The sequence below is a fragment of the Homo sapiens genome, chromosome 6 (assembly GCF_000001405.40).
Source record: "Homo sapiens chromosome 6, GRCh38.p14 Primary Assembly".
Taxonomy (NCBI): domain Eukaryota; kingdom Metazoa; phylum Chordata; class Mammalia; order Primates; family Hominidae; genus Homo; species Homo sapiens.
In genome coordinates this window covers 88,896,260-88,918,019 of record NC_000006.12, presented here as the reverse complement: position 1 = coordinate 88,918,019, position 21,760 = coordinate 88,896,260, and the positions used below count along the sequence as shown (strand labels likewise).

At 38.6% G+C, this 21,760-nt stretch overlaps 1 protein-coding gene across 5 annotated transcripts in view, besides 1 other annotated feature; it reads left to right on the top strand.

Annotated features, from left to right (window-relative positions):
* Positions 1-21,760, top strand: part of RNGTT (RNA guanylyltransferase and 5'-phosphatase) — a 353,722-nt gene that overhangs the window by 45,599 nt on the left and 286,363 nt on the right. For all 5 annotated transcript variants that reach the window (NM_001286428.2, NM_001286426.2, NM_003800.5 and 2 more), the window contains 2 exons: positions 11,580-11,655; positions 13,065-13,305. In NM_001286428.2, the coding sequence (NP_001273357.1) occupies positions 11,580-11,655; positions 13,065-13,305 (317 nt within the window). The remainder of the gene's footprint in view (positions 1-11,579; positions 11,656-13,064; positions 13,306-21,760) is intronic.
* Positions 10,583-10,783: a silencer, noted in NCBI's record as "peak5948 fragment used in MPRA reporter construct". NCBI's record gives its function as "represses an SCP1 promoter by STARR-seq MPRAs in K562 erythroleukemia cells {active_cell/tissue: K562}" and the evidence as "EXISTENCE:reporter gene assay evidence [ECO:0000049][PMID:32103011]".

Genomic DNA, 21,760 nt, shown 5'->3' with positions numbered 1-21,760 from the left:
TAGTGATTTTCCATTCTAATCATTATGTGACATCTAAGCACTCATAACTTAGAAAATTTCCTTTACTTGGCATACATGACCCTGTGTTTTTGTTCTTTGAAGCCCATCATGGTTCATTCTCAGTCTTTTTTTTGAGATGGTGTCTCGCTCTGTCGCCCAGGCTAGAGTGCAGTGGCATGATCTCAGCTCACTGCAATCTCTGCCTCCTGGGCTCACGCGATTCTCCTGCCGCAGCCTCCCGAGTAGCTGGGATTACAGGCAACCGCCACCAACCCCAGTTAATTTTTCTATTTTTAGTAGAGATGAGGTTTCTCCATGTTGGCCAGGCTGATTTTGAACTCCTGGCCTCAAGTGATCCGCCACCCTCAGCCTCCCAAAGTGCTGGGGTGGGGATTACAGGCCAGAGCTATAATCAGCCGTGGGAGTGGTTTTTCTAAACTCTGATAATTTTATTGCCATGCTTAAAATTCTTTACTATATCTCCATTGCCTTTATAATCTTTAGTATGTTTCACAGGTTTTTTTAGGATTTTGACCCTTTCATTTTCTCCAACTGCATTTGGCATTTCTTACCACAGCTCATATTCTAGCCATTCTGATTTATTTATAGTTTGCCATATGTGCTTTTTTGATTAATATATTTACATTTGCACAGATTGTTCCTACTGTCTGCAGTTCCATTGTATAAATATCCTTTTTTATTGAGAGTTGTTCAATGACTAAGGTTTTTATTCTAAATATTAATGGTCATTTTATTATACCAGGAATGTAGAAATTGGTGATTTGGCTCAATTGATAGTTGTTTTCAAAAAAATTTTAAAAGTAGCATGTTTTGTGGTGGGCAGGCCTATGCAAACCTATTCTCAAAGTCCAAGGAAGCAAAGAAACCAAAGAAAGAGACTGACAAATCCGGTTTCTTAGAAAGATATATTTAATAGGGACTTAAAAAGAAACCAGTCCTGCTTGTCAGGTGGCAGTGAGATAAGATGGTGGATCCCCACCATTACTCCCAAGGCCAGGGCTTATAAACCACAGGAAACAGGTGATTCAGAAGGGTTAAGTAGAACAAGTAAGTACAATCACATCAAGGTTGTTTTTACCTTTGGGCAGGATTTATAGTTAGGACATGCTCTTACACAAAGAACAGTAGATAAACTAGAAATCTTAGAGGCCTTCCCAGAACTGGGGTTAATCAGAAGTCAACATAGGCAGATTAGCATCCAAGATGGAGTTGCTTTGGCCTCCACATAGTAAAAAATTTTTTTGGAAAGAACTCCTACCATAATATACAAATGAGATTAAAGTGATTTTTTTGGCATATATTTTTAAATGTATCAAATGTATAACCTGGGTTTTTGATAAAGTTCATTGCTGAGAACAAGGCCATATTGATGAACACAAATATTTGGATTATGTTATTAATACAAACTACAGACTTATACCAGCATCTCACTTTAGCATCTAGCTAAAAAAACAACATATTGAGATATAATTTTATATAAAACAGCATTCATTTAAATTGTACACTCTGATGATTTATTTTAATTTTTGAGACAGTGTCTCACTCTCACCCAGGCAGGAATGTAGTGACGCCATCACAGCTCACAGCCCCCTCCACCTCCTGGACTCAAGCGATCCTCTCCTCTCAGCCTCTTTAGTAGCTGGGACTACAGGCACACACCACCATGCATGGCGAATTTTTGTATTTTTTCTAGAGACAGGGTTTCACCATGTTGCCCAGGCTGGTCCTGAACTTCTGGGCTCAAGTGATCTACCCGCCTTGGCCTCCAAGTGCTGGGATCACAGGCATGAGCCACCTGCCTGGAAGAATCTGAGGTTTGATAGATGTAGATACTGGTAAAACCACAGTATGAGGGTTCCAGTTCCTCTACATCCTCAGGAACACTTGATACGGTCACTCTTTTCAATTTTAGCTATTTTAATGAATGTATACTAGGATCTCATTGTGGTTTTAACTCGCATTTTCCTGATAATTGATGATGTTAAGCAACTTATGTGCTTCGTGGTCTTACATATTTTGTTTTGTAAAGTTCAGATCTTTTGCCCAGGTTTAAAAAATACTGTGTTATCTTATTGAACTGTAACAGTTTTAAAAAAAAATTTTTATTTGTATCAGCAAATATTGCCTGACAAAATAGTTCTTTATATATTCCAGATATAAGTCCTTTGCCAGATATATGGGTTGCAAATATTTTCTGTGGCTTTCCTTTTGCTTTTTTAATTTAAATTTAAATTTTAGGTTCAGTGGGTAACATGAGCAGGTTGTTATAAGGGTATATTGTGTGAGGCAGGAGTTTGGGCTTCTGTTGGTTTTATTACACAGATAGTGAACATAGTACCCAATAGGGAGTTTTTCAGCCCTTGCCCTTGTTCCTCTCTTCCTCCTATTGGAGTCCCCAGTGTTTGTTCCTGTCTTTATGTCTGTGTGTACCCAAAATTTAGCTCCAGCTTATAAGTGAGAACATGTGATAGGTGGTTTTCTGTTTCTGCGTTAATTCTCTTGGGATAATGGCCTCCAGCTGCATCCATGTTACTGCGAGGGATGTGATTTCATTCTTTTTTATGGCTGCATAGTATTCTATGGTATATATGTACTGCATTTTATTTACCTAGTCCACCATTGATGGACACCTAGGTTAATTCCATGTCTTTGCTATTGTAAATAGTGCTGTGGTAAACATACAAGTGCGGGTATCTTTTTGGTAGAATGATTTGTGTTCCTTTGGGTATATTTCCAATAATGGGATTGTGGGTCAAATGGTAGTTCTATTTTTAGTTCTTTGTGAAATCTCCAAATTGCTTTCCACAGTGACTAAACTAACTTACATTCCCCCCAACAGTGTATAAGCATTCCCTTTTCTCTGCAGCCTCTCCAGCATCTGTTATTCTTTGACTTTTTAGTAATAACCATTCTGACTGGTATGAGATGGTATCTCATTGTGGTTTTTATTTGCATGTCCCTGGTAATTGATGGTGAGCATTTTTTCATTCTTGTTGGGCCACTTGTATGTCCTCTTTTGATAACTGTCTGTTCATGTCCTTTTCCCACTTTTTAATGGGTTTATTTGTTTTTTGCTTGTTGAATTAAGTTCCTTGTAGATTCTGGATATTAGTCCTTTTTCAGATACATAGTCTGTGAATATTTTCTCCCATTCTGTAGGTTGTCTGTTTACTCTGTTGATAGTTTATTTTGCTGTGCAGAAGCTCTTTAGCTTAATTATGTCCCACTTGTCAATTTTTGTTTTTGAGGACTTAGACATAAATTCTATGCCTAGGCTGCTGTCCATAAGGCTATTTCCTAGGTTTTCTTCCAGGATTTTTATAGTTTGCAGTCTTACATTTAAGTCTTTAAGCCATCTTGAGCTTTTTTTTTGTATATGGTGATAAATAGGGGTCCAGTTTAATTCTTCTGCATATGGTTAGCCAGTTTTCCTAGCACACTTTATCGAATAGGGAGCCCTTTTCCCATTGCTTATTTTTGTGACTTTGTTGAAGATCGATTAGTTGTAGGTATGTGGCTTTATTTCTGGGTTCTCTATTCTGTTGCATTTGTCTGTGTGTCTTTTTTTTGTAGGAGTACCATGCTCTTTTGGTTACTGTAGCCTTATTAGCATAGTTTGCGGTTGGTTGTAATATGATGCCTTCAGCTTTGTCCTTTTTGCTTAGGATTGCTGTGTCTATTTGGGTTCTTTTTTTGGTTCCATATTTTATAATAGTTTTTTTTCTTCTGTGAAAGAAAAATGCTGTTGGTAATTTGACAGGAATGGGGTTGAATCTGCAGATTGCTTTGGACAATATGGACATTTTAACGATATTGATTCTTTCAATCCATGAGCATGGAATTTTTTTTATTTGTTTGTGTTGTCTGTGATTTCTGTCATCAGTGTTTTGTAGTTCTCCTAGTACAGATCTTTCACCTCCTTGGTTGGGTGTATTCCTAGGTATTTTATTTTTTTGTGTGGCTGTTGTAAATGGAATCGTGTTTTTCATTTGGCTCTCAGGTTGAACATCATTGGTTTATAGAAATGCTATTGATTTTTGTATGTAGATTTTGTGTTCTGAAAATTTACTGAAATAGAGAACATATGATGTCCTCTCTTCCTATTTGGATGCCTTTTATTTCTTTCTTTTGCCTGATTGCTCTTGCTAGCACTTCTAGTACTATGCTGGATAGGAGTGGCGAGAGTGGGCATCCTTGTCTGGTTCCTTTTCTTAAGGGGAATGGTTCCAGCTTTTGTCTGTTCAGTATTATGTTGGCTGTGGGTTTAGCATAGATGGTTCTTATTATTTTGAGGTATGTTCTTCAATGCGTAGTTTGTTTAGGATTATTATCATGCAGGAATGTTGGATTTTGTCAAATGCTTGTTTTGCAGCCATTGAGATGATCATGTGGTTTTTGTTTTGAATTCTGTTTATGTGTTAAATCACACTTACTGATTTTCGTATGTTGAACCAACATTGCAACCCAGGAACAAAGTTTGCTTGAAGCAGTGAATTAGCTTTTTGATGTGGTGCTGGATTTGGTTTGCTAGTATTTTTTTGAGGATTTTTGTGTCTATGTTTATCAGGGATATTGGCCTACAGTATTTTTTTTTGTTGTGTTTTTGCCAGATTTTGGTATCACAATATGTTGGTTTTGTAGAATGAGTTAGGAAGGGGTCCCTTCTCTTCAATTTTTGGGGATTGTTTCAGTAGGATTGGTACCAGCTCTTCTTTGTATCTCTGGTAGAATTGGGCTGGGAATCCATCTGGTCTAGGGCTTTTTTTTTTTTGTTTTTTTTTTTTGTTTTTTTTTGAGACAGAGCTTCACTCTACTGGCCAGGCTGGAGTGCAGTGCTGCAATCTTAGCCCACTGCAACCTCTGCCTCCTGTGTTCAAGCAATTCTCATGCCTCAGCCTCCCGATTAGCTGGGATTACAGGCGTGTGCCACCATGCCTGGCTAATTTTTTGTGTTTTTAATAGAGATGGGGTTTTGCCATGTTGGCCTGTCTGGTCTTGAATTCCTGGCCTCAGTGATCTGCCTGCCTCAGCCTCCTAAAGTGTTGGGATTATAGGTGTGAGCCACTGTGCCTGACTAGGGCTTTTTTGGGGTTGGTAGGTTTTTTATAACTGGTTCAATTTCAGAGTTCATTATTAGCTTGTCCAGGGTTTCAGTTTCTTCCTTCTTCAGTTGTGAAGTTGTGTGTTTCCAGGAATTTATTCATTTTCTCTAGATTTTCTAGTTTGTGTGCATAGAGGTATTCAGAATAGTCTCTGAGGATCTTTTGTATTTCTGTGTGGTTGGTCGTAATGTCACCTTTGTCATTTCAGATTGTGCTTATTTGGATCTTCCCTCTTTTTTTTTCTTTGTTAATCCAGCCAATGGCCTGTCAATCTTGTTTATCCTTTCCAAGAAACAACTTTTCATTTCACTATATGGTTTTCTTTACATGGCTTTTTGGGTCTCAACTTCTTTTTGCTCTGCTCTGATTTTAGGTATTTCTTTTCTCCTGCTAATTTTGGGATTTGTTTGTTTTTGTTTTTCTAGTTCCTTTAGATGCGATATTAGATAGTTTGAGATCTATCTTCTTTTCATTTCTTTTTATTTTTGGTGGCAGGGTCTCACTCTGTCAGCCAGGCTAGAGGTCAGTAGCACGATCATAGCTCACAGCAGCCTCAAGCTCCAGGGCTCAAACAGTCTTCCTGCCCTAGCCTGAGTAGCTAGGATTACAGGTGCATGCCACCATGCTTGGCTGATTTTCAGCATTTTTTTTTTTTTGGTAGAGATGGGGTCCTGCTTTATTGCCCAGGCTGGTCTTGAACTCTTGGGCTCAGGTGATCCTCCTGCCTTGGCCTCCCAAAATGCTGGGATTACAGGTATGAGCCACCATGCCCAGGCCTTTCTGTCTTCTTCTTCTTCTTTTTATTTTATTTTTTGAGGTAGGGTCTTACTTTATCACCCAGGATGGAATTCAGAGGCACAATCTCTGCTCACTGCAGCCTCGACCTCCTGGGTTCAAGCAATCCTCCCACCTCAGCACTCCCCAAGTAGCTGGGACTACAGCAATTTATTTATTTTATTTTTTGAAATTTTTTGTAGAGACAGGAGTCTTGCTATGTTGCCCAGGCTGGTTTCGAACTCTAGACCTCAAGCCATCTGCTTGGCCTCTCAGAGGGCAAGAAGTACAGGCATGAGCCACTGCCTCCAGCCATTTCTATCTTCTTGATGTAGGTAGGCATTTAGTGCTGTGAATTTTCCTTTTAACACTAATTTTGCTGCATATCAGAGATTTTGGTGTATTTTACCTCTGCTTTCATTTGTTTCAAAGAATTTTTGTTTTCTTTCTTAATTTCGTTGTTTGCCCAAAAGTCATCCAGGAGGAAGTTGTTTCGTTTCCATGTAATTGTGTGGTTTTGAGTGTTTATCTTGGTATTGATTTCTATTTTTATTTCACTGTGGTCCAAGCACATACTTGGCATGATTAAGATTAAAAAAAAATTTATTGAGACTTGCTTTAGTACCCATCTGGAAGTTCTTGTTTTATGAATCTGCGTGCTACAATATTGGGTGTATATACATTTAGGATAGTTAAGTCTTCTTGTTGAATTGAACTTTTTATCACGTAATGATCCTCTTTGTCCTTTTTTATTGCTGTTGGTTTAAAGTTTATTTATCTGAAACAAGAATAGCAACCCCTGCTCTTTTTTGTTTTTCATTTGCATGATAGATCTTTCTCCATCCCTTTACTTTGAGGCTGGGGGTATGAGTTAGTTTCCTGAAGATAGCAGAAGGATGGGTCTTTTTTTATTTTTTTCATTTTTAAATTCAACTTGCCACCCTGTGTCTTTTAAGTGGAGTGTTTAGACTGTTTACATTCAAGGTTAATGATACGTGAGATTTTTTTCCTGCGGTGGTGCTGTTGGCTGGTTGCTTTGTAGCCTTGATTGTGTAGTTGTTTTATAGGGTCTGTGGGCTGTGTACTTACGTGTATTTTTGTGGTAGCAGATACTGTTTTTGTTTCCATGTTTAGAACTCCCATAAGCATCTCTTGTAAGGCCAGTCTAGTGGTAACAGATTCCCTTAGCAATTGCTAATCCTGCAAAGATTTTATTTCTCCTTCGCTTATGAAGCTTAATTTGGTGGGATATGGAATTCTTGGCTGGAATTTCTCCTAGGATGCTAAATATAGGCCTCCAGTCTCTTCTGGCTTATAAGATTTCTACTGAGAAGTCTGCTGTTAGCCTGATGAGGTTCCCTTTATAGGTGATATGACTCTTTTTCTAGTTGTCTTTAAGATTTTTTCTTTTACATAGACCTTGGAAAGTCTGATGACTCTGCCTTGATGATGGTCGTTTTGTATAGTACCGTACAGGGGTTTTCTGAGTTTCTTATATTAGCATGTTGACCTGTCTAGCAACTTTGGAGACATTTTTGTGGATTATATTCTCAAATATGTCTTTCATGGTGCTTACTCTTTCTTCTTAGGAATATCGTGGGTTGTAGGTTTGGTCACTTTATGTAATCCTATTATTTCTCAGAGGCTTTGTTCATTTGTTGAAGATTCTTTTTCTTTATTTTTGTCTGACTCAGTTGCTTCAAAGGATTGGTCTTCAAGCTCTGAGATTCTTTCCTCTGCTTGGTTTAGTCTGTTGTTAAGCATCTCTTATAAGGCCGGTTGTTAAGATTTTTAATTGTATTTTGAAATTCCTGTGGTGAATTGAATTTCAGATTGGTTCTTCCTTAGTATAGCTATGTTATATTCCAAATCTTGGATTGTTTTTCTGACTTCCTTGGATTGGATTTCAACCTTCTCTTGGGTCTTGTTGAGCTTCCTTGCCATCCATATTCTGAATTCTGTGTCTATAATTTCAGACATTACGTTCTGGTTGGGATCCATTGCTAGGGAGTATATGCAATCCTTTGGAAATAACAAAACACTCTAACTTTTTGAATTGCCAGAGTTCTTGCACTGATTACTTCTCATCTGAGGGAACTGGTCCTTCTTTTTGTTTTTGAATTTGCTGTTGATTGAATGGGTTTTTTTTTTTTAAATATTCTTTTTTCCCTTGAGAGTTTGATGGTGGTAAATGTTGTGTATAGTCAGTTGGCTTCATTTCTGGGTGCTTTCAGAGGGCCAAGGCTCTGTATGAGTTCCTTGGTTGTAGATAGGTTTCTATGAGGGTTTCACAGGCTTTGCATGTTGAAGCAGTGTATTTTGTTTTGCTGTGTAATTCAAGCTGCAGTTGGTGCTTAAATATAAGGGCAGATAGGCTCTTACACAGCTGCGCATGCTCCCTTTGTATTTCATTGTGTCCTCAGCAGTGCTCTGGAGAGAGGACGCAGGGTAAGAGATGACTTTCTCTCATAGTCTGTTCTTAAGCCTTGGTGGTATCCCCCTCAGCTACTGGCACTGTCTCACGTTTCCTTTGCTCTGTGTGGGGCTTTGGTGGGCTTCTCTTCCTGCTCGCTTAGATATGATTCAAGCCAAGGGTTAGGCCACCAGGAGACCTGAAACTCCTTAGGGACCTACCAGTCCCCTGTGCTTGTCAGTAAGAGTGGGTTGTGGGGTATGTCTGCAGGTGGTCTGGTAATGCAGTGGGTCAAGCAAGGGTGGTAGATCCTCAGGCAGGGAAGTGGCACCGTATGTGTGTGTAGCCAGTATAGTGACCATGGCCCGGGTTTGCAGCCCAGCCGATGGCTGTGTGGCCCTCACAACTTGCACTCCCCTGACCTGGTTGGTCTCTGTCTGATGTCTGTCTCAGGAGCAGGCGCAACCAGACTGGCCAGGCTTGTCTCAAAAGCCCTGCGTGCCCAGTTCGTTGAGCCATTTCAGATGCTCCAAGCCACGGAGCTTCCTGGGGAAGAAACCTTGGCTGGCTGTCAGGCCACACCCATCCTGGACTGGTCTTCTGAAGAGAGGTTGCTTAGTTTCCATGCCACACTCTTCTCTGTATTCTGAGAGTGAAGGCTCCTTTCCTGCCCAAGCTCAGGCCACAGAGCTTAACTCAATACCCCTGGGCAGTGTGCTTGAGTCCTGGGGAAGTGGGACCAGGCCTGCACATTTGTCCTCTGGCCCCTTAGGATCAGCCAGCAGGCTGCCAGCAGAACACTCAGGCAGGGAAGTGGAGGCTGTTCTGTGGGCACTGTCTTGCAGGAGCAGCCAGGCAGGCAGTCTTTGAAGAGTTGGCAGGCAAAGGGGCATGTGGATCAGATACACTATGGTCCTATGGCAGTGGCAGTCTTACTCTCTTCGCCCTGCAGATAGCAGGACCTGCAGCCACTCAGTACAAGCTGGAGAGCCTTGGAGGATGGGCCCTATGGTGGTGTTTTGCTGCAGCTGCACCGTGGTCTGTGGGGCTCATGGCTAGAATCTTGTAGCTAGGATCCCAGAGGACCATGGTGGGAGTGTGGTGCCCCAGGGTTCCTTTACTCAGCCCTCCCTTAGGTCCACACTGGAACTGGGGGCCAGTCCTGGTGCCTAGTTACTCCAAGCAGTCTACGTCGCTTCTTCCCTCTTCAAACACTGTGTCTGCTTTGCCTCTCTATTGGCTTTCAGTGTTTTCTCTCAAAAGATCTGTTCAAAGTTGCAGGATTTTGTATTGTCAAGTTTTGGTGGTTCAAAGTGTGGTGGCTTACTTGATATTTTGGTTCCTTTTCATGGAAGAGGCGTTTTTCAGCTGTAGGTAGTTGGCCGTCTTGCCTAGAACTCTTTTTTATATTCTTAATGATGTCTTTCAAAGAGCAAACCCTTGCTATTTTGAAATAGTCTAATTTATCAGTATTTTTCTTCATTTTATGCTTTTTGTGTTTTATCTAAGAAACTTTTTCTACTCTAAGCTTGCAAAGATTTACTCCTGTATTTTCTTCTAGAAGTTTTGTAAATCTAGCTAGTTTATTTCTATATTTGATCTTAGTTGCACTGTATCAGTATGATCTATATATACAGAGAAGAATAATTTGTAGAAGGTAATATTAGAAAGATACAGGCTGGGCATTGTGGCTCATGCCTGTAATCCCAGACTTGGGGAGGCTGAAGTGAGAGGATTGCTTGATCCCATGAGTTTGAGACCAGCCTGAGCAACATAATGAGACCCTGTCTTTACCATAGAAAAAAATTAGCTGGGGATGGTGGTGTGAGCCTGTAGTTCCAGCTACTCTGGAGGTTGAGGTGGGAGGATCACTTGAGCCCAGGAGGTCAAGGCTGTGGAACCTGATCATGCTACTGAACTCCAGCCTGGTTGACAGAATGAGATCCTGTCTCTAAAAAAAAAAAAAAAAAAAAAGATACAGCTTAAATATTAGGATATCCTTTAATTAAATAGAAATAACAGGAAAAGCTTCATTTTGAAGACTGTAGGAGAGTCAGCAATATTGTCATGTTTTAATTACTATTTTCAAACTAGTTATATTCGTCTCTTCTCACATAAAGATACTACTCGAGAATGGGTAATTTATGAAGGAAGGAAATTTAATGGACTCACAGTTGTGCATGCCTGGGGAGGCCTCAGAAAACTTACAATCATGGTGGAAGGGGAAACAGGCACGTCTTAAGTGGTGAGAAAAGAGAGAGGGCATGTGAAGGAGGAACTGTCAAACACTTACAATCTTAGTGGTGAGAAGAGAGAGAGAGGGCATGTGAAGGAGGAACTGTCAAACACTTACAAAACCATCAGATCTCATGAGAACTCACTCACTATCACAAGAACAGCATGGGGGAAACCACCTCCATGATTCAGTCACCTCCCACCAGATCTCTCCCTCATGGGGATTGTGGGGATTACAAATTGAGATGAGATTTGGACGGGGACACAGAGCCAAACCATATCAGTAGTTAAAATGATCTTGAATATGTTCTGAGAAAGAGTTTAAGAAAATAAATTTTCTTTCCTAGCTGGTTTCTTTCTTTTAAAAATTTATTTAGAAAGATTATAACCTAACTTGAAAATACAGTTAGTTGGTTTCTAGAGAGCTTCAAGGTAACTTAATTTTTATTGTACTATATATCTATCAGTTAATTATTTTCTGTAGCTAGTCACTTTTGTTGATTATATTTAATTAGTATCAGGCCCCATATGAATTTATATTTCTATTAGTTTATTTGCTCTGTTCTAGCTTCTGGATTTTAGAAAATAGGATTTGACTATTTTGCAAATATATGCCATTGATCATGAAGAGGACCGTTTTTTTTCTACTAGAGAAATTTAAAGTTTGAGGGTCAGAAGGATCTTGTGTGTATGTGTTTTATGTGTCCTTTTGAGTTGTGTGTTTGATGAAAATACCTCCTTATTTAAAATGCTTGGAATCTTCTAGCTTTAGGAGAACTTGTTAAACAGTAGAGACAGTTTTACATCAATAAACCTATATATTACACTTAAACTTCTAGCTAGTTATAAATTAGATTCTAAGCAATTCAAACTGACAAGTTTTCAAGTTATAAGGGTGTTTCAAGTTAAAAAATTAAAAAATGTAATTATTTTATAAACTAGCTGAAATGTTTTGATTGCAGGTTGGAATTTTAAAGTAAATGTGGCCTCTGCAGTGATTTGTTAATTTTAACCAAAGCTACTTTATTTTCTAGGTGTTCATTGTACTCATGGCTTCAATCGCACTGGTTTCCTCATATGTGCCTTTTTGGTGGAGAAAATGGATTGGAGGTATTTGTATCTTGTTATAATGGAAGATGTATTTTGTAATAAAAAATTTTATTGATATTTTAGTTGCAGAATTTTGTATTGTCAAGTTTTTGGTGAACTCATGATTAATGTAATTTGAACTGCTTTTCATTTTAGATATGGTTAATCTTTATACTACCATTACTTGGTGTGTGTGTGTATGTGTGTATGTGTATATATGTATGTTTTGTTTTGTTCTTTGAGACAAGGTTTCCTCTGTCATCCAGGCTGGAGTGTAGTGGTGTGATCATGGCTCATTGCAGCATTCACCTCTTGGGATCAAGCAATCCTCCCGCCTCAGCCTCTCAAGTAGCTGGGACCACAAGTATGTGCCACCCATGCCTGGCTAATTTTTTCTTTTTTGTCTAGTGAGGAGGTCTCCATATGTTACCCAGGCTGATCTTGAATTCCTGGGCTAAAGTTATCTTCCACCCTTGGCCTCCCAAAATGTTGGGATTACAGGCATGAGCCACCACACCCAGCCAGGTGTTTTGCATTAACCAGCAAATCACTTTGAGTGCTTATGAATTTCATAAACTGTATATTCACTTTTTCAGATTTTTTTCACCTCTTACAGAATTATCAGAGACAGATTCTTCCAATATTTTGTATTTTAGTATTTTTGGGAGAGTGTTACTCCATTTAAGCCAATCAACATGTCTTTATTGAGCATCTGTTATTTTTGAAGTGTGTTTTTAGATCCTGAGAGATTACGACTTTAGTACCCAATATTCTTAAGAGAATATATTACTAACTGAATTTTCTTGTTGACTGAGGGAGCATCATTATTTATGTTTACAAAGATTTTCACATAGTAGGTCCTTTTTTGAATATAATCAGTTGAAGTACACATATGATTTTGAATTTTGCAGTATGCATTGTTGGTGGTTCTGTACTGCATGTACTTTCTAGCTCTGACCATTCAGATGCTCTCCACAATGATCTCAGTTTCCTATGTCAGATTTAGCCTATGCTTATCCTCTCTTTGATGATCTAGACTCTTAGTGCCTGGATCTGTTGAAAGTTCCTGTAAAATCAATATGCTTTTACTTTGCTCACATTGTTGTTTTTTTGACTGATGTTTTGCTGCAGAGTCAGACCTCAACCTTCAAGACTAAATTCTTCACAGACCCTATCTAGGTCTCTACTATATACTCATAGCAATTTATTTTTAGAATTTCAGAATTTTCTGAATACCTTATATTAAAACCTTTTCAGAATGAATGTGTCCCTTAATAGATTGAATGACTTGAGGGTGAGGATTGTGATTTGCCCATTTTATAAACTTCTGTTGTACTTTATATGGAGCCTTGAATATAATAAGTGAGTTTTTGATAAGCCTGCATAAATAGAGGATAGCGAGGAAATTGCATGGTGTTTGTTTCCTATAGTATCGAAGCAGCAGTTGCTACTTTTGCCCAAGCCAGACCACCAGGAATCTACAAGGGTGATTATTTGAAGGAACTTTTTCGTCGGTATGGTGACATAGAGGAAGCACCACCCCCACCTCTATTGCCAGATTGGTGTTTTGAGGATGATGAAGACGAAGATGAGGATGAGGATGGAAAGAAGGAATCAGAACCCGGGTCAAGTGCTTCTTTTGGCAAAAGGAGAAAAGAACGGTTAAAACTGGTAATGTTTAAAAATATTATAATAGGTTTTTTTTTTCCTTTTTCTGCAAGCTTATTGAGATTTATAAAAATGGAATATTGGCCATGTTTCTTTAGCTAGGTTTGTCAGATGATTCATCCTAGCCCTTTCTAAAAAAAAAATTTTTTTTTTTTGGAGAGAAAGTTTTGCTCTGTTGCCCAGGCTGGAGTGCAGTGGCAGCCTTGACCTTCTGGGCTCAAGTGATCCTCCCACCTCAGCCTCCTGAGTAGCTGGGACTGTAGACATGTGCCAACACGACTGGCTAATTTTTAATTTTTACATTTTCTGTAGAGAAGGTTCTCACTTTGTTGACCAGTCTGGATTTGAACTCCTGAGCTCAAAGTGATCCTCCTACCTTGGCATCCCAAAGTGTTGGGATTACTGGCATTAGCCACTGTGCTTGGCCTTTAAAGGTTCTTAATAGCCACGAGTCTGTCTTTTCAAAGAGAAAAATTGCAGTTACGTAAATTTTTCCTGTTTTTGTTTCTTATGTCTTTAGATATTAGATAATATCTAAAAGAACTTTTAGATATTAGATTGAGAACTTACTATTTCTTTACAAAGTATTGTGAGATTTCAACTAAATACCTAGTGAATATTTTTACTAATGCTTTACAAAATTGTCACATAATTAAAATAACTTTACATATGAATTCTGCATCCCCCTCCCTGGGTGATGCTTTCATGGTTTCCATAAAATTAAATCAAGAAGACTCTCACTTCTCTAGCCAACCTTTAATAATCTTCTAGAAATAAAAGAGCTAACCATAAATATGAGGAGTTATCTTCTTTTACTGGAGGATAGGGGAACTGTTGAGAGGAAAAGTATTGGTTGTACTTGTACACACACAAGTATATGATATAGGCCAAAGGGAAAAGTTAGGGAAAGTATGGAGGTAATTGTGTTAATGAAATTATTAATTAAGGTTCCTAGTATATTATGGTTGAGTGGTATATACCACGACTCATTTATTAGTAGGCATGGTTCACAGGCAAGGAAGTAAATGCTTTGTTAGTTTATGTAAACCATGTAAGTTATTTTTGGCTTAAAAATTTTTTTTTGTTTGTAAAACAATGTTTTAATTGCATTTACACATTTTAAATTTTAAGACTATAAGGACACTGAAAAGTGTAAATTGCTTCGAAACATAGAAATTATTTCAAAAGTAATTTATTATTTTATTCTGATTTATTATTTCCTGGATTTAGATATCTGAAATTACTGAGTCACATACCTAGAAAAATAACAATCACATTCTAAGGAAACTTCAATAAGCAGCATAGCATAAAATATAGGTTTTGTTTGTTTGTTTTTGGAGACAGGGACTCAACTCTGTTGCTCAGGCAGGAGTGTGGTGGCATGATTATGGCTCACTAGTGGCAGCCCAGCCTTGACCTCCCTGGGTTCAGTGATCCTTCTACCTCAACCTCCTGAGTTGCTGGGACTACTACAGTGTATCTCTTACAAGCACCATGTTGCTGGGTTTTATTTATTCAGGCAACAGTTTTTGCCTTATCATTTAGTCCATGTACATTTCATGTAAAGATTAGATTCAAATTGTCTTACTCTTTTTTTGTGCCACTAGTGGTATGTTCCTTTCTTGCCTTCTTTATGGTTGCTTTTATTCTTCTATTACCCCAACCCATTGCTTGTTGACCATACATTCCTTTACTTTTCTTTTATTAGTTACTCAAGATTTCATGGCCAGGTGCGGTGGCTCACGCCTGTAATCCCAGCCCTTTGGGAGGCCGAGGTGGGTGGATCGTGAGGTCAGGAGATCAAGACCATCCTGGCTAACATGTGAAACCCCGTCTCTACTAAAAATACAAAAAATTAGCTGGGCGTGGTGGCGGGTGCCTGTAGTCCCAGCTACTCGGGAGGCCGAGGCAGGAGAATGGCTTGAACCCCAGAGGCAGAGGTTGCAGTGAGCCAAGATTGCGCCACTGTACCCAGCCTGGGTAACAGAGTGAGACTTTGTCTCAAAAAAAAAAAAAAAAAAAAAAAAGATTTCACTATACATCTTTTTAAAGGCTGGTATATATTAGTACTTTTGTCACTTTTTAGACAATGCAAAAATCTTATTTGTTTATTTTTGAGACAGGGTCTTACTCTGTCAGTCAAGCTGGAGTGCAGTGGCTTGTTCATAGCTCATTGCAGCTTTAGATCCCTGGGGTCAAGGGATCCTCCCACCTAAGCCTCCCAAGTATCTGTGATTACAGGTCTGTGCCACCATACCCTGCTAATTTTATTATTTTTTTTGTAGAGACAATGTCTTGCTATTTTGGCAGGGATAGTCTTCAACTCCTGGCCTAAAGTAATCTTCCTGCCTTAGCCTCCCAAAGTAGTAGGATTATAGGTGTGAGCTGAGCCACTGCGCTTGGCCAAGAATTTTACAATCTTTTATTCCATTTACTTATTCCTATCTTTTTTGGTATTGTGTTTTTTAATTCTATGTGTATCTTAAACCCCATGATGAGACCTTTTATTTTTATTTTTATTTTTTTTTAAAGAGATAGGATCTCACTCTGTCATCCAGGCTGGAGTGCAGTGGTGTGATTGTAGCTCACTGTACTTTGAACTTCTGGGCTCAAGCTATCCTCTCATCGCAGCCTCCTGAGTAGCTGTGACTACAGGTGTGTGCCACCATGCCCGGCCATGGCATTTTTATACAGCTATTATTGGTTAGGTATACCCACATATTTACCCTTTCTGCTGCTCTTTCTTTCATGTATTTTTGTGGTTCCATTTTGGATAGTTTTCCTTCTAACTGAAGAGCTTCCTGTATTATTTCCTTCCATGTGGGTATGCTGTTGCACATTCTTTTAGTATTTGTGTGAAATTGTCTTTTTCGACATCATTTTGAAGAATGTTTTTTCTGAGTATAAAAATCAGGGTGGTTAGCTGGGCGCAGTGGCTCACGCCTGAAATCCCAGCACTGAGGCGGGCGAATCACGAGGTCAGGAGTTCGAGACCAGCCTGGACAACATGGTGAAACCCCGTCTCTACTAAAAATACAAAAAAATTAGCTCGGCCTAGTGGCAGGCGCCTGTAATCCCGGCTACTTGGGAGGCTGAGGCAGGAGAATGGCTTGAACCCGGGAGGCGGAGGTTGCAGTGAGCTGAGATCGCGCCACTGCACTCCAGCCTGGTCGACAGAGTGAGACTCCATCTCAAAAAAAAAAAAAAAAAAAAAAAAAAAAAGATCAGGGTGCTTGACAGTTATTTTTTTTCTAGCACTTTGAGTGTTTCATTCCAGAATTTATTTCTGTTGAGAAGTTAGCTACCTTGTTGCTTCTTTGAAGGTAATTTCTTATTGTTTTTGATTTTCAGCAGTTTTACCATGATATTTCTACTTGTGGTTTTCTTTGTATTTATCCTGCGTGGTGTATGTAGGAATTCTTAAATATATAGTTGGAGTTTTTTTCCTAATTTGTTTTAGACAATTTTTGGCTGTTATCTTTTTAAGTATTGTTTCAGATCTATTTGTTCTTTCTTCTGGAGCTCAACCTAATACCAGTAGGCCTTTAAATTTTTTTTTTTTTCTTTTTTCTTTTCTGGAGACAGTCTAGCTCTGTCACCAAGGCTGGAGTGCAGTGTTGCGATCTTGGCTCACTGCAAGCTCTGCCTCCCGGGTTCAAGCGATTCTCCTGCCTCAGCCTCCCAAGTAGCTAGGATTACAGGTGTGCACCACCACACCCAGCTAATTTTTGTATTTTTAGTAGAGACAGGGTTTCACCATGTTGGCCAAGTTGGTCTCAAACTCCTGACCTCAGGTGATCCACCTGCCTCTGCCTACCAGAGAGCTAGCATTATAGGCGTGAGCCATCGTGCCTGGCCTAAAATTTTTTTTTTTTTTAAAAACTGTTTCCTGTGTTCTTTTTTATATTCTTTATCTTTTTGTTTATTTTTTTAGTTTGGATATTTTCTTGTTTTTTTTTTTTATTCTTTTTATTTATTTTTTTTGAGACAGAGTCTCTCTCTGTGGCCCAAGCTGGAGTGCAGTGGTGCAATCTCAGCTCATTGCAACCTCTGCCTCCTGGGTTCAGACGATTCTTCTGCCTCAGCCTCCTGAGTAGCTGGGACTATTGGCACCTGCCACTACGCCTGGCCAATTTTTGTATTTTTAGTAGAGATGGGGTTTCACCATGTTGGCCAGGCTTGTGTGGATCTCCTGACCTCAGGTGACCCACCTGCCTCAACCTCCGAAAGTGCTGGGATTACAGGCATCAGCCTACTTTGGATATTTTCTTCTGACCTATCTTGGCATTTACTAATGTCCTCATTAAGCTTTGTCTAAGCTGCTGTTAAACTCATCCATTGACTACTTAATTTTAATTATTTTACTTTCACTCCTGGAATTTCCATTTGATTTTTTAAAAAATGATTTTCAGTTCTCTTCTGGAATTCTTCATCTTGTCATTTCAGTTTTTGAAAATATTAAAACCAGTTTTTAAAAAGTCAAATAAAAAGTAAAACTAATATGTCGGTCTCCTGTGGATCTTTTTTTAAGTTTTTTTTCTCGTGTCCTTTTGATATCTAGTCAATTATAGTTTTTTTTTTTTTGCATATTTGAGTATTTTTGATTGAATACTAGACATTGTTTATGAAAAATTATGTAAATAATTTGAGGCTCTGGTCATGTTATCTTTCTTTAGAGAGGATTTACTTTTGCTTCTACAGAGAATTAGGAGCAGAATATCTTAATTAAGGATTGAGCTGTTAGAAACTAGACTTTAGTTTTGGGGCAGTGGTCTATTTTTGCTCTGCTCTTATTCCTATAGCCTGTGAGGATCTTCATTGAAAGTGTGGGGAATTAAATTGGACTCCTTCCACTTGAAGACCTGTAACTCCAGCTTTTATTTCCCATTGCTGTGATATTACTGAAATTTCTGTTCAGCTTCTTAGTGTCTTAGCTACCATTTTTGAAACAGTGCCTCTAGAGGAGAGTACTAGAAAGGAAAAGCTGTAGAAGATGTCTAGCTCACCTCTCTGGCCTCCCTTCCTCCTGAGTTTTTGGCCCTTCAAGTCCTTATTGCCTTTCTAATTCTCTGAGGTCTTCAAATGAATTCTTTAACATTGTCCAGCTTTTTTTTTTGTGGCTACAAAGTTAGTCTAATTAGGCTGGGTGCAGTTGCTCACACCTGTAATCTCAGCACTTTGGGAGGCCGAGGCGGAAGGATTGCTTGAGCTCAGGAGTTTGAGACTAGCCTGGGCAACGTAGTGAGACCTCGTATCTACAAAAAATTAAAAAATTAGCCAGGTGTGGTGGTGTGCACTTGTAGTCTCAGCTACTTATGAGGCTGAGGTGGGGTGGATTGCTTGAGCCTGGGAGGTTGAGACTGCAGTCAGTGAGCTGTGATCATGTCACTGCATTCACCTGCACTTCAACCTAGGTGACAGAGTGATAGGCTGTCTCAAAAAAAAAAAGCCGAAACCTTCTTTCTCTCTTTTTGGAGAAAGCAATTAGTCTTGATTTCTGTTATGAGTTGGTGATTTTTGAGAATATTTGTGCTTATACCTCCAAAGGCCGAATTAGGAAAAAAAAAAAGTTCTAAAACCTTATGCCTTTTGGTAGTTTTTTCTTTTTTCAAACCATAATTAGTAAATCCTAAAATTATTAAATATTTTACTCATATAAGTAATATATTAAAGATGAAAGAACATTAATCTTTAGTTTATTAAAGAAAGTTTGAAAACGAAAGAAAACTTATAATCCTTCAACTTTCATACTACCATTGGTATTGTTGTCTTTTTAGAATAATTTTTCCCTATTTACTTATTTATTTAGCTTTAAAACATACACAGATGACTTAAAGATGAGTTTTTTTTTTTTTGTAAAATATAAATGCAAACATCTAGGAGTATATAGAGTTAAAAGGCAAAATATTTCTTCATTCCCAAGCCATTTGCTCTGTACTTTTTGGTTATTTCTTTGCATATGCACAGAAAACATAGTATAGAAGAATAACTTAGTGTAGAAGAATATATACTGGGGAGATACATATATATAATATATATATATACACACACACACACAGTATATATACTAAAAATTATATATTGTAAAAATTAAGTCCTATATAAAAGTAATACTAGATATACTAAGAAAGGAAAAATTAAAAATTTTTCTATTTGAGAAAGCAAATAGAACCTTTCTTTAGAAGACAAGAGAGGCTATCAATCCATAAAATAATAGCAGGCTATTAAGAAGAGGAACAAATTAGAGATCTTGGAAATGATAAGATTAAAAAACCACTTAGTATGTGGGATGAGTAGCAGAATGAAATTATCAAGCTAGAGGATCTAGCTATGAAATCCTTCCAGCATGCAGCATGAAAAGACAAAAGAAATGTAAAATATGAGAAATAGTTTAGAATTAACTTAAAGGGAGCAATTTAACAGTATGATTTCATGGAGAGGACAAAATTCAATAAGGACGGAAAGTATTTATCTGAGGATTATTTTCTGTGGTGCAGTAGGGCTGGGTCAGACTGGTAATTTTAAGAAGCTAATGGAAGGCGAGAAAGTGGAGACTGAGTTGTGTTAGGGGTTCCCTGTACCACCCTCACTTCTGGAGATTTATTAGAATAACTCAGGACTCAGCATATGGTTGTACTCATAACTCAGATTTATACAGCAACGTACTAAGGATATACAGCTCAATCATAAGAGACAAAGACAAGTAGAGTCTGGGGGGAGTTAATGTGTAGGCTTTCTTGTGCTCTCTTTTTCTCATGAGGGGTCATCCTGAGCTCACTCTTCCTGCAGCAATGTATTTGTGATGTTTCTGTCCATGGAAGCTCATTACACTCTCACTGCTCAAGATTTTTATTGATGGCCGGTCATGTAGGCACTCTGTGCTTAGCATGTAGCAAAATTCCAGGATTCCAGGAGGAAAAAAATTTATTCAGCATAAACTGTATTTTTGGGACAAGTAATCTAGGTTTGGTGAGCCATCCTTATCAGTTGACTGAGAACACTCCAAAAGTCAAGTTCTCAGGTGCCATTCAGGAGCCAACTTTGCAAGCACTAGTGTTAGGTTAACCCTTTTCTGCACACTACTATAAACTATTCATTCAAGTGGCTTGGTTATGATAAAAAAAGGAGCAGAAGGGTAATTGATGCAGACATAGTCAGAAAAGGCTTTTTAGTATGGGATAAATTCAAGCATATTTATTAGTGTGGATAAGGAGCTAGTGAAGTCAATGAAGTTGAAAGTAAAGATTTGGGGAATAATGATAGAGAAATCTCTGAGGAAGTGCAAGGGAATGGAGGTCAAATGCAGTTTTTGGAGTAATAGGTCTTCAGCAATAGGAGGGAAATATCTTTCTTAGTACTGGAGATGTAATTGAGATTGTGATTTTTTCCTCAGTAAGTTTCAGCTGCCTATGTATGAGAGTGGAAAAGACTAACGGTAGGTTGACTCAAGGCTGGAGAAATTCAGTTTGGGTGTGATGAAGAACAAGAGGGTAAGGGGCACTGAGGCTGTCAGAGGAAAAATAATTGAAGTAATCAGCCATAGGTTCTAGGCTGAATAGGAAGTAAGGTCAGGATGAGGGTGCTGTTAGAATATGTAAAGGAGAAATGAAGGGACTGTTAGTCTTGGTGAAATTGAAAAGTGAGCAGAGTGACAGTAAAAGAGTTTATAGTGACATGTTAGTTTTAGAATGCTGTCGGCACTCAATCAATGTGAGTTGTATTGAATCAAAAGGTAGAGTGGTTTGAAATGATTGTGGTAGTGCCATGGAGCAGGATGTTCCAGTTGGACAAAGATGAGGGTCATTGTAAATGAGATGACCTATTGTAAAGGTTGTACAACAGGTCGAGTTATTTCAATGGATGTTGATGTTACCAATATAATGATAGAGGTTAGAATAGTCAGAAAGACCAACTTTTTTTGATGAATGTAGGGCAATATCTTTCAATACACAAAGGATAGAGGGTTTTACTAGTTTAGACTCTCTGACTGTAAACAGCAGAAAATAACTTAAACTGGCTTAAATATTAAGGGTACTTATTCATGAGTAAATTAGTGGAACTCAGGCACTGGAATGTGCCAGATTTTAGGACAATATTGGAACCTGGACCTGGAAAGTTACTTAGAACCTAGTTTCTGCTCTTTCTTCTTAATATCGCATCTCTGCTTTTGTCCCTTTATTTGTATCAGTCTTCTCATTGTCTCTGTCTCTCAAGATTGGCTCTTCCTGATTCCTGATTTTCCTGGGAGATCATTAACTGTCTCGAAGCTTCTAAGGTAACCTGTTATAATTTTAGCCACATGCAGAGACTAACTGCTTGTCTCGGAATCCCAATTCCAAATTACCAGGAGAGAGAATCTGATGGCTTCAGATTGAGTTAGGGGTTATTCGTGCTCCCATCAACTTTGGCTGGAGTAGGATGTTATCTTGTAATGTCATGTAAAATAGCTATTAGGCCC